At 35.0% G+C, this 13,904-nt stretch overlaps 1 pseudogene across 1 annotated transcript; it reads left to right on the top strand.

Annotated features, from left to right (window-relative positions):
- The first annotated feature begins 3,997 nt into the window (after positions 1-3,997).
- LOC400682 (zinc finger protein 100-like) lies at positions 3,998-12,938 on the top strand (annotated as a pseudogene). Its single transcript, NR_144514.1, has 2 exons — positions 3,998-4,038; positions 9,484-12,938. The product of NR_144514.1 is annotated as a zinc finger protein 100-like (transcript).
- Positions 12,939-13,904: the final 966 nt, after the last annotated feature.

Raw genomic sequence — 13,904 nt, forward strand, 5'->3', positions numbered from 1 at the left:
TTTCAAAGATCAGGCAGTTGTAGATATACAGTCTTATTTCTGAGTTCTCTATTCTGTTTCATGGGTCTATGTGTCTGTTTTTACCAGTGCCAGGCTGTTTTGGTTACTACAGCCTTGTAGTATAGTTTGAAGTTGGATAGCTGATGCCTCCAGCTTTGTTCTTTTTGCCTAAGATTGTCTTGGCTATATGGGGCCTTTTTGGGTTCCATATTAATTTTAAAATAGTTTTCTCATTCTCCATCAATTTTTCTTTCTTTCTTTCTTTTTTTTTGACATAGTGTCACTCTATCACCCAGGCTGGACTGCAGTGGCACAATCTCCGCTCACTGCAACCTCCACCTCCCAGGTCCAAGTGATTCTCCTGAGTCAGTTTCCTGAGTAGCTGGGATCACAGGCTTGCAGCACTACACCTGGCTAATTTTTGTATTTTTAGCAGAGATGGGGTTTCACCATGTTGGTTAGGATGGTCCTAACCTCAGCTAATCTGCCCTCGTTGGCCTCCCAAAGTGCTGGCATTACAGGCGAGAGCCAATGTGCCTGGCCTGCATTGATGTTTATCAGAGATGTTGGTTTTAAGGTTTTGTTGTTGTTGTTTTTATATCTCTGCCAGGTTGGGTATCAGAATGATACTGATCTTATAAAATGAGTTAAGGAGGAGTTTCTCCTTTTCTTTCATTTAAATAGTTTCAGAAGAAATGGTACCAGCCCTTCTTTGTACCTCTGGTAGAATTCAGCTGTAAATCCGTCTGGTTCTGGGCTTTTTTTTGTTTGGTAGCCTATTTATTACTGTCTCAATTTCAGAACCTGTTGTTGGTCTATTCAGGGATTCAACTTCTTCCTGGTTCAGTCTTGGGAGGGTATATGTGTCCAGTAATTTATCCATTTCTTCTAGATTTTCCAGTTTATGTGCATAGAGGTGTTTATAGTATTTTCTGATGATTGTATTTTTAATTTTTTTTTTGACACAAAGTCTCACTCTTGGCCCCCAGGCTGGAGTATGATGGCACAATCTCAGTTCACTGCAACCTCTGCCTCCTGGGTTCAAGTGATTGTCCTTCCTTGGCCCCCCGAGTAGCTGGGATTACAGGTGCCTGCCACCACACCCGGCAAATTTTTTTTTTTTTTTTGTATTTTTAGTGGAGGCGGGGTTTCACTTTGTTGGCCAGGCTGGTCTAGAACTCCTGACCTCAGGTGATCCACCCACCTCGGCCTCCCAAAGTGCTGGGATTACAGGCATGATCCACCACACCCAGCCCTGATGATTGTATTTCTATAAGGTCAGTGCTGATACCTGCTTTATCGTTTTTTACTGTGTCTATTTCTTTCTTCTCTTTTCTTTATTAATCTAGCTAGTGGTCTATTTTATTTTATTTTTTAAACAGCTCCTGGATTCATTGATTTTTTTGAAAGGTTTTTTTGTGTCTCTGTCTCCTATGGTTCCACTCTGATCCTGGTTATTTTTTGTCTTCTGCTGGCTTTGGGGTTTGTTTGCTCTTGGTTCTCTTTTTCTTTTAGTTGTGATGTTAGGGTGTCAATTTGAGGTCTTTCTAGCTTTTTGATGTGGGTATTTAGTGCTATTTTACCCCCCTTAACACTGCTTTAGCTGCATTCCAGAGAATTTGGTTTCAAATAATTTTTTGATTTCTGACAATTATTTACTCAGAAGTTATTCAGGAGTATGTTTTCCATGCAATTGTGTAGTTTTGAGTTAGTTTCCATGCAGTCGTATGGTTTTGAGTGAGTTTCTTTCTCTTGAGTTCTAATTTGATTGCACTGTGGTCTGAGAAACTGTTATGATTTCAGTTCTTTGGAATCTGCTAAGGAGTGTTTTACTTCCAATTATATAATCAATTTTAGAGTAAGTGCAATGTGGCAATTAGAAGAATGTGTATTGTGTTGTTTTTGGCTGGTGAGTTCTGTAAATATCTATCAGGTCCACTTGACCTACAGCTGAGTTAAGTCCTGAATATCCTTGTTATTTTTCTTTCCCAATGATCTGTCTAATATTGGCAGTGGGGTGTTAAAGTTTCCCACTGTCATTGTTTGGGAGTCTAAGTCTCTTCGTAGGTATCTATGTTTTATAAATCTGGGTGCTGGCTGGGTGTGGTGGCTCATACCTGTAATGTCAGCACTTTGGGAGGCCAAGGCAGGCAGATGCCCTGAGGTCAGGAGTTTGAGACCAGCCTAGCCAACATGGTGAAATGCTGTCTCTATTAAAAATACAAAAATTAGCTGGGCATAGTCATGGGCACCTGTAATCCCAGCTATTCAGGAAGCTGAGGCAGGAGAATTGCTTGAACCTGCGAAGTGGAGTTTGCAGTGAGCCAAGATTGTGCCATTGACCTCTAGTGTGGGTGACAGAGTGAAATTCCATCTCAAAAAATAAATCAATAAATGAAAACAAATCTTAGTGCTCCTTGAATTGATCCCTTTACCATTATGTAGTGTCCTTCCTTGTCTTTTTTGATCTTTATTGGTTTAAAGTCTGTTTTGTCAGAAACTACTATTGCAACCCCTGCTTTTTTCTGCTTTTATTTGCTTTGTAAATTGTTCTCCCTTTCTTTATTTTGAGGCTATGGGTGTCTTTGCATGTGAGATGGGTCTCTTGAATACAGCACACCAGTGGGTCTTGACTCTAACCAGCTTGCCATTCTGTGTCTTTTAATTGGGGCATTTAGCCCATTTAAATTTAAGGTTAATATTGTTATGTGTGAATTTGATCCTGTTCTCATGGTGCTAGCTGGTTATTTTGCAGACTTGTTGATGTAGTTGTTTCATGATGTCATTGGTCTTTGTACTTCAGTGTGTTTTGCATTTGCTGGTAGTGGTTTCTTCTTTTCATATTTAGTGCTTCTTTCAGGAGCTCTTGCAAGGCAGGTCTAGTGGTGATGAATTCCTTCAGCATTTGTTTGTCTGAAAATGATTTCATTTCTCCTTCACTTATGAAGCTTACTTTTACTGGGTATTCTGGGTTAGAAATTCATTCTTTTAAGAATGCTGAATATTGGCCCCCAATTGACACCCTGGCTTGTAGGGTGTCTTCTTAGAGGTCCATTTTATAGTAGGTGACCTGGCCTTCCCTTTGGCTGCTCTTACCATTTTTTCCTGAAGTCTAACCTTGAAGAATCTGATAATTATGTGTCTTGAGGTTGATCTTCTCATGGAGTATCTTACTGGGGTTCTCTGGATTTTCTGAATTTGAATGTTGGCCTGTCTTTTTAGGTTGGAAAAGTTCTTCTGGATGATATCCTGAAGTATGTTTTCCAACTTGGTTACATTCTTTCCATCTCTTTAGAGTACTGCAATCAGTTGTAAGTGGTCTTTTTACATAATCCAACAGTTCTCAGAGATTTTTTCATTCCTTTTTATTTTTATTTTTTCAATCTTATCTGCCTTATTTCAGCAAGATAGCCTTCAAGCTCTGAAATTCTTCTCCCTGCTTGATCTACTCAGTTATTGATACTTGTGATTACATTGTGAAGTTCTCATGTTGTGTTATTCAGTTGCATCAGGTCATTTATGTTCCTCTCTAAACTGGTTATTCGGGTTAACAGCTCCTGTAATGTTTTTCGTGGTTCTTAGCTTCTTTGCATTGGCTTAGAACATGCTTCATTACCTCACCGAAGCTGATTATTACCCACCTTCTGAAGCCTACTTCTCTCAATTTATCCATCTCAGCCTGATCCCAGTTCTGTCCTCTTGCTGGAGACATGTTTTGATTATTTGGAGGAGTAGAGACACTCTGGCTTTTTGAGTTTTGAACATTTTTTTATTGATTATTCTCATCATCATGAGTTTATCTAGCTTTGGTCTTTGAGGCTGCTGACGTTTGGATGGGGTTTTTGTGGGGACATTTTTGTTGATGCTGCTGTGGTTGCTTTCTGTTTTTCTTTTAACAGTCAGGCCCCTCTTCTGTAGGGCCGCTGTGATTTGCTTGGGATCCACTTCAGATCCTATTTGCCTGGGTTTCTCCCACACCTGGAGGTGTCACCAGTGGAGTGTGTAGAACAGCAGAGAGAACTGCCTGCTCCTTCATCTGTAAGCTTTTTCCCAGATGGGCACTGAGCTGATGACAGTGGGAATACTTCTTTATAAGTTGTCTTACAATGCCTGTTGGGGGGGTGGTCCTCACTCAGTCAGGATGCACAGGATTCAGGAACCACTTAACAAGGCACTCTGGCTGCTTCTTGGTGAAGGGGGTGTGCTTCACTGGGAGAAATTCCATACATCTGGACTGCCCAGATTTTTCAGAGCCAGCAGGGGGAAAGACTAAGTCTGCTGATCTGCAGAAACCACTTCATTGTTACACTTTTATGTGTTTCTTGTAGATATGTCTTTTCTCATTTCTTGTTTTACTGCCTTAATTTTTGTTTTAATTTTATTGTGACATGCTTTATTTTTTATTTTGTTTTGCATACTTTCCATAAGTATAATGTAATCTTGAAATACAATGTAACCATATTGAAGAACAGATTACATAAAACATCTTAAAGTTAAAACTATGTATTTTAATCTCATCACACTTCAATTAAATACAAAACTTATACTGTTATATTTTCCAGTTTGTTATTAATATTAAAAACCATATTATCTTACATCATGTATCTATTAACAGATTTATACAGATTTATATCTTGTTTTTTATATCTGTAGAAGAACTTTAAGGGTTTTATGCAGCATCATTTTGATAGTAAAAAATTCTATATGTGTCTGTATTTACATTTAATAGAGAACTTCATATTTATATATGTTTTATGATGCTGTCTAGTATCATTTTGTTTTTCAACATAATGGACTCATTTTAGCATTTCTTTTTGTTTGTATGCAGAGTCTCACTATGTTTCTCTGGCTGATCTTGAACTACTGGTCTCAAGTGATCTATCTACCTTGTCTTCCTAAAGCTGTAGAATTACAGGCCTGAGCCACTGTGCCTGGCTACCATTTAACATTTTATGTAGGACTCTGGTAGTTGTAATAAATGCCCTGAACTTTTATTTTGGAAAGTCTTTATTTTTATCTTGTTTTTGAAGTAAAATAATTTTGAATTAAGTATTAGTTAGAAATTCTTTTATAACATCAAAATTTGGGAAGTTCTCAGTCTTTTTTGTCTTCAAATAAGCTCTGTATTACTTTTTCCCTATATTCTTCTAAGATTCCTTTCATGAATATATTGATCTACTTGATGGTGTCCAATACATTTTACATTCCATATTTTAATTTTGTTTTGCAATGTTATATTTTTGTGTTATATATTTTAAGGTATGCCACTTCACACCATTTACTTGTGTTTTGGTGTTTTATTTTATATTATAATTGTGTATGACAGTGTTTAACTCTGTGCAATTTAAGACAGTCTAGCAAAATCAATATAAATCAGCCAGAAGTCTACTGCCAATATAATTACCTCTGTGTTTGTTTACCTCTATAAATGTCATCTCTGTTTATTTTATCACTTGTATATTTGTTTTGTAGGTTTGTTTTGAATGGTCGTTTAGTCTTGGCTAGGTGACCAGTTATAAAATTCTCCTAATTTCAGTATCTGTTGTGAATCTACATTACTTCTGTGTGGGAGAAATACTTTGGGATTTGAAGATAAAATTGAAACTATTATATCTTTATATATTGTTCATTTTTACTTGTCAAAAACACATAAAATATTATCTTTTTTTTTTTCTTGAGACAGCATCTCTGTTGCCCAGGCTGGGGTGCAGTTGTGGCATCTTGGCTCACTGCAACCTCCGTCTCCTGGGTTCAAGCGATTCTTTTGCCTCAGCCTCCTGAGTAGCTGGGATTACAGGCATGCGACACCACACCCTGCTAATTTTTGTATTGTTAGTAGAGATGGGGTTTCACCGTGTTGGCCAGGCTGGTATCCAACTCCTGACCTCGTGATCCACCCACCTGGCCTCCCAAAGTGCTGGGATTACAGGTGTGAGTCATCACACCTGGCCCATTATCAAATATTTTTAAATAATCTGTTTAGTCATATTAATTATAGTGATAATATTACGCAACATACACCTAGAATGTTTTTATCTTGCAAATCTAAATCTCAGTGTACATTAAACAACAACCAATTTTTCTGATTTTCTGGCACTTTGCAAACACCACTTTGTTTTCTTTTTCTAAGAGTGTAACTGCCTCATATGTCTTATACAATCTCTGTCTCATTGTGGCTAGCTCATTTTATTTTGCATAATGTCATCAAGCTTTATTTTTAGAGTTGTTAGACTATTTCCTGCTTTTTAAATCCTGGGTGATATTCCAGTATTTTTATGTCACAAATTATATGTATTGGATAATTTGGTGACAGAAAGTTGCATTGCTGCCGGGCGCAGTGGCTCACATCTGTAATCCCAGCACTTTGAGAGGCTGAGGCAGGAAGATAACAAGTCAATAGATCGAGACCATCCAGGCCAACATGGTGAAACCCCGTCTCTACTAAAAATACAAAAAATTAGCTGGGCATGGTGGCACACACCTGTTTTCCCAGCTACTTGGGAGGCTGAGGCAGGAGAATTGCTTGAACCTGGGAGGTGGAGGTTGCAGTGAGCCAAGTGTCACTGCACTCCAGCCTGTGCAACAGTGCAAGACTCAGTCTCAAAACAAACAAACAAACAAAAACAATAGAAAGAAATTTGCATTGCTTTTACTTATTGGCTTTCAGTAAAAATGCTGCAATAATTATGGGTATGAAAATAACTCTTCATATGACCATATATGTGAAACTTTATATAGGTGCTGCATTCTATTTTATTAGCCTACTTTTTACCCATTATACTCATACCAAATTGTTTTAATTCTGTAGCTTTGTAATGTGTTTTGAAATCAGGAACTATAATGCCTTCATTTTCTTTTTTTGAAGACTCTTGGGTACTTTATTGTCTCTTGACATTTTATATATTTTTGGAGTTGTTTCTATTTCCTCAAAAATGCAATGAGAAATTTTTTAAAACATTGCATTAAATCTGTAGATTACATTGAGAAGTATGGATGTTTTCAAAATATCAATTATTTCTACCTTTAAACAGGAGCATGCTCAAGAGTGTGTTGTTTAATTTCCATGTATTTGTGAATTTTTAGTTCTTTTTCTATTATTGTTTTATACTCATTCCATTTTGTTCATATAATCCATACAATTTCAGTCTTAGCAAATGCATTAAGACTTCCTTTTTGGCCTAACATATGGTCTACCAAGGAGAATGTTGTATGAGCAATTGAGAAGCATGTGTATCCTGATATTGTTGAGGAGTCTTCTCTATATATCTGTTAGAAATAATTGTTTTATACTGCCTTCAAGTCCTCTCTTCACTAACAAATATTCTGTTTTGTTTTATTTTTATTATGGAAAGTAGGGTATGGAAATGTCCTACTATAATTATATTGCTGTCTAGGTGTTTCTTCCATTCTGTCAATGTTTGCTTTATATATTTGGAAACTTAATGTGAGATACACACACACACACACACACACATACATTTGACTTAGGTTATCAGTAAATGAATCTATTATTTTTTAATGTCTTTTGTCTCTTTGCAATTTTGACTTTTAGTACATTTTATAAAATATGAAAGTTTTTCACTTAAGATATAGCTTATGTCATATTATTTTGACCTCTTCTCTCATTTGGTTAATATTTACTTGCAATATGTATATCCATCTTGCCACTTTCAGTTTTTTTTATCAGTAGATCTCAGCTTACTCTTGTAGAAAGGCAAATTGGATCTCAGTTTTTAAAATATTTAAATAAATCTCTTTATTAAAAGTATGTTTCTTGATTGCAAAGTTAAAGATATATATTTAAATAATTTTCTGAAACAGGAAGACATACTAATGTTATTTTATTGTTTTATTTGATTCTTATATCTTGGTCACTCATTTTCTCTTTGTCTTTGTGTCTTTTTAGTTTTATATTGATATGTTTCTTTTACTTATTTCTTAATTTGTTTTGTGCATCTATACACATATGTTCTTTGAGGTACCTTGGGGATTACATAAACCTCTAAAAGATAAAACAGTATATTTCAATCTGGTAAAAAGGAACTTCATTTGCATGCACAATTTTTTTCTCATTACATCTTCCCTCAAATTTGTCATTGATTTTGCTAATTATATCTTTTTATGTTGTATATTTATTAACAGATGTTTATAATGATTTCTGTGATTTTCTCTTTCAACTTTCAGATAATAATTAAAAATGTTTTCTGCACCATTATTATAATGCAAAGAAATTCCATTTTGGTGTATGTGCATATACTTAGAAGTAAAAATATATATGTGCATATAATCTTTCCCAGAAAATAAATGTAGTTTTATATGATTATGTGTTGCTTTTGTTGAATTATGTTATTTTCAGAAGAAGCAACTGCTTTCAGCACTTTTTATATGTAGGGTTTATGGAGTTCCAATATACTTTTCAGAATTTTGTTATTTTTGAAAGTTTTTTTCTTTTTATTTGGCAGGACAGATTTGCTGATGGTATTATGCTGTCTTGATCGCTGTATTTTTCAGGAGTTTGACTTTATCACACATTTCCCTTCTGGTCTGCAAAATTTTTGTTGACAATTCACTGGCTGTCTCATAAGACTATGCTTGCAAATGACGCATCACTTTTATCTTGCAGCTCCCAAGGTTCTCTTCTTGTCTGTGACTTTTGAAATTGTGCTTATATATGTGTTTGTTATAAATATCTTTGTGTGTTTCCTAGTTTGTTTGTTGAGCTTCAACATATTGCCTTATTTTGTATACATTGTAACCCTTGATTGAAATTTGGACATTAAAAAAGGCTACCTGTCACAATCTTTATAATGTAGCTTTGTCCTGGCATAGTCTGAACAATCGTCTTGGTTAGAGATTCTGGGAGTCTCTCAAACATGTTCTTAGAATGTGTCTTGTCTGAAATGTTCTTTATTTTTTAGTTAAAGGAATTTATTCATGTTTCTTCTTAATAGTAGTCACGTGCTACACCTGTTTTCTCTGTGTGGTACAGTAGTCTCTCTGGTGCTGTAACATTTACCTTTGGTCTCAGCAAACTTAAACTGTCACTCCAAAGTATACCACCATTTCTTTCAGCATTATATTTCAAGAGAGACACAAACCAGTTTTGGAAAGCTCCTAGAAGCAAGTAACAAAGATGAATGTGCCAGTATTTTACTTGTCGTTAAAACGTTGGCAATTTACTTCTAAAGACACTATGTTATATTGGGGAGCAGAAAGAGCTGTGTTGGGTAAATATAGCAGACTTTCACTTCCAGGTGGCTCTTTGCGTTGTTCTCACCATGGGCACTTCATACACTTAGCTCATTTGTAAATTTTTTTCAGATGTAATTTGGTTGGTATGTTTTTGTTACATTTACATGTCTAAAGGAATGAGGGCCTTTGGTATTTTCCTATGCCATCTTGTTTATGTAGTTTGTATAATAAGTTAGATTTGAAAACTTTGTCTGTGTCTAGCAAGTAATTTGTTATTTTTATTTCTTTCAGTTATATGTTCTCATTTTGCCCAAGACCTTTGGGCAGAGCAGGACATGAAAGATTCTTTTCAAGAAGCGATTCTGAAAAAATATGGAAAATGTGGACATGACAATTTACAGTTACAAAAAGGCTATAAAAGTGTGGATGAGTGTAAGGTACACAAAGAAGATAACAAACTAAACCTGTGTTTGATAACTACCAAGAGCAATATATTTCAATGTGATCCATATGAAAAAGTCTTTCATACATTTTCAAATTGAAATAGACATAAGATAAGACATACTAGAAAGAAACCTTTCAAATGTAAAAAATGTGAAAAATCATTTTGCATGCTTTTACACCTAACTCAACATAAAAGATTTCATATTACAGAGAATTCCTACCAATGTGAAGATTGTGGCAAAACCTTCAACTGCTTCTCAATTCTTACTGAACACAGGAGAATTCATACTGGAGAGAAATCCTACAAATGTGAAGAATGTGAGAAAGAATTTAAACGGTCCTCACACCTTACTACACATAAGATAATTCATACTGGAGAGAAACCGTACAGATGTGAAGAATGTGGGAAAGCCTTTAACCGGTGTTCACACCTCACTACACATAGAAGAATTCATATTGGAGAGAAACCCTACAAATGTGAAGAATGTGGCAAAGCTTTTCACCAATCCTCAACCCTAACTGCCCATAAGATAACTCATGCTGGAGAGGAGCCCTACAAATGTGAAGAATGTGGCAAAGCTTTTGCAAGATTCTCATACCTTAAGAACCATAAGATAAGTCATACTGGAGATAAATTCTACAAATGTGAAGAATGTGGCAAAGTCTTTAACCACTCCTCAACTCCTACTACACATAAGAGAATTCATACTGGAGAGAAACCATACAAATGTGAAAAATGTGGCAAAGCCTTTAACTAGTCCTCAACTCTTACTAAACATAAAAAAATTCATGCTAGAGAGAACCCCTGTTAGTGTGAAGAATATGGCAAAGCCTTTAATAAGTTCTCAATTCTTAACAGATATAAGATAATTCATACTAGAGATAAATTCTATAAACCAGAAAGATGTGACAGTGCTTTTGAAAACACCTCAAACTTTTCTAAACATAAAAGAAATCATAGTGTTGAGAAATCCTAGAAATGTGAAGAATGTGATAAAGTTTTAAGTGGTTGTCACACTTGATTGTAGGTAAGATAAGTTATACTGGAGAAAACTTCTACATGTGTGAACAGTGTGACAAAACTTTTAACCAGTGCTCACACCTTACTTCACAGGAAAGCATTTATACTTGAGAAATATTGTATAAATATAAAGACTGTGAAAAAGCCATTAATACATGCTCACATCTTACTCAACATCAGAGAGTTCATACTTAATAAAAACATTATAAGTGCAACTACTGTCAAAATATCTTTAAGAAAATGGAAGCCTCTAAAGTAAAGAAGATTATTTTGAAGAAGAACATTGTAGTAGGGTTGTAATATGTTTACTTGTGTCACAGATCTTATTGTACACATTTTGTATTAGAGGAAACCTCAGAAGCAATTGCTCAAACTTTGTTTAATATCAGGGAATTTATATTGAAAAAAAAACCCTGCAAATGTAATAAATTTGGAAAAATACTTTTTCAAAAACTACAGCTTAGAAAACACCACAGAGTTCATACTAAAACATATTTTTGCAGATGCAGTAAAAATTTAAAGAAATTTTAATACAAAATTAAGTCTATGTAAATATCAGAGAATTTACAGTAGAAATATATAAGGCACTGACACTTCAGATATTATACTAAATCACAGTGCTCATGATAGAAAATAATCTAAAACTAAAGTTGATAGAAAAATTATTCATATATAAGTTTAAAAGAATTTTTTGCAGAATTATAATTACATTCAAAGTATGCTTAACTTTTGGAAAACATAGATTTTTTGAAAAGTGAATAATGATGTAATTCAATTCTCAAATTATTTCCTGCTGTTTCTTCATTCCTATTTACATGTGAGAGCATGTGATGAATTGTTGCTGCATCCAAGATATGAGAGATTCTTTTTTATTAGGTGAGCATTATTTATAAACTTTGTTATGAAAATGTAAGGACATTAAAATGTAAGATGCATGATGAAAATCTAAGTGAAGAGACCTTTGTGGTTAACTTATAATATTGAGTAATGTGTGAGTTAAGTGTTCAGTCATATTCTTCTGTATTATGAGAAGAAAACATTTTTAATTTCATAAGTAAATTAAAATTTAGTATATTGTACTAATTATACTTTTATATAAAATGCAGTATATTTTGAAAATTTCAGATTATATGTGATGTTAATATATTCAACATCTTTAACATTTTAAATACTGTTGTGCATTCAGTGAAGTGTTATGTAACAAACATTAATTCCCCCTTACTCAAGGTTGTACATAAAATATGGTAATAATATACTATTTGTTAACATAATGGATTAACTTCTCTAGTACTTTTGCCAGTGGCTTTGACTGCAAATAAGTTAAACAATATTATTTCTTTAAATTAAATTTTTGTTTCTATTTTATTTAATTTTTTTTGAGAGGGAGTCTTGCTCTGTCACCCAGTCTGGAGTGCAGTGGCACAATCTCAGCTCACTGCAACCTTGCCTCCTGGGTTCAAGCAATTCTTCTGCCTCGATCTCCCAAGTAGCTGGGATTACAGGCACCCGCCACCACACCCAGCTAATTTTTGTATTTTAGTAGAGACAGGGTTTCACTATGCAGGTCAAGCTGGTCTCAAACTCCTGACCTCAAATGATCCACACGTCTCGGCCTCCCAAAGTGCTGGGATTACAGGTGTGAGTCACCATGCCCAGCCAAATTTTTATTTTATTTAAATTTATTTTTCTTAATTATTTGGGGTACATAATATGAGTATATATTCATGCAATATATGGCATATTTTGATACAAGAATACACTATATAATAATCACACCAGGGTAAATGAGGTATCCATCACCTCTAGTATTTATCTTTTTTTTGTTGTTGAGACAGAGTCTTGCTGTGCTGCCCAGGCTAGAGGGTAGTGGTGCAAGCTTGGCTCACTGCAACCTCCACCTCCTGGGTTCAAATGATTCTTCTGCCTCAGCCTCCTGAGTAGCTGGGTTTACAGGCATGCACCACCATGCCCAGCTAATTTTTGTGTTTTTAGTAGAGACAGGGTTTCACCTTGTTGGTCAGGCTGGTCTCAAACTCCTGAACTCATGATCTGCCTGCCTTGGCCTCCCAAAGTGCTGGGATTACAGGTGTGAGCCACCGTGCCCGGCTTAGCATTTATCCTTTGTATAACAAACAATCCAATTGTATGCTTTTAGTTATTTAAAGATGTACATTTAAATTGTTATTGATTACAGTGTAATTTTTATGGTCAAAATAAAAGTTATGTAGAAATATGAATAAAATCCATACATTTCTGAGTCCTGAATAAATATTTTTAAAGTTTTCTGATATTTATTTTTTGAACATGTTTCCTGTCTGCCCACAAACACATGCAGACGTTTAGTTTTGATTTACATAGAGTTCAATATATGTTAGTCTAAAGATAAACCTTAGGTGTAAGAAAATTATAGAGTAAGTGAGTTTGTGTAAGTATGAATTTGTAACTATTTTCAGAAGAAGACAATATTGAACAAGGCAAATCATTTCAACAAGATGACTACTAGAAAACTAAAAACCTTAAAAATGCTGAAAGCAAGTATATTCTCTGCTTTGTATTGAATTTATTACTGTACAATCGATGGCTTTTGGTTCTGAATCTCCCCATGCAAATTTTGTTTATACTTGTCTGGTACTCATGATAGACCCCTAATTACTTTGTATCTTTTCGATATATATATTTTATAGTTTATGAAGTATTCATTATGTGAGCTTGTCTGTGTTTATAAGAATAATTTTATAAAATTTAGTAGTGCATACAAAAATTTTAAATGTAATTCCATAATTAGTGTATTAAGTTACATTTTATTTAGTTAGAACACTCCATTTTGTTTTTAATTGGAGAACTCTATAGCCCTTTAGTTATTTTTCTTTTCACTTTTTATAATTGGCATAAGTAAATTTATTTATTGAGTTAATTTGTTCAGATAAGTACTAGGGAAGCTTTATAAGTCATGAGGATGTTTTTATATTTAAATGTAGCAGGCCGGGCGCAGTGGCTCACACCGGTAATCCCAGCACTTTGGGAGGCCGAGGCTGGCGGATCATGAGGTCAGGAGATCGAGACCATCCTGGCTAACACGGTGAAACCCCGTCTCTGCTAAAAAATAGAAAAACTTTGCAGGGCGTGGTGGCGGACGCCTGTAGTCCCAGCTACTGGGGAGGCTGAGGCAAGAGAATGGCGTGAACCCAGGAGGCGGAGCTTGCAGTGAGGTGAGGTCGCGCCACTGCACTCCAGCCTGGACGACAGA

This window comes from Homo sapiens, chromosome 19 (assembly GCF_000001405.40).
Source record: "Homo sapiens chromosome 19, GRCh38.p14 Primary Assembly".
Lineage (NCBI taxonomy): Eukaryota > Metazoa > Chordata > Mammalia > Primates > Hominidae > Homo > Homo sapiens.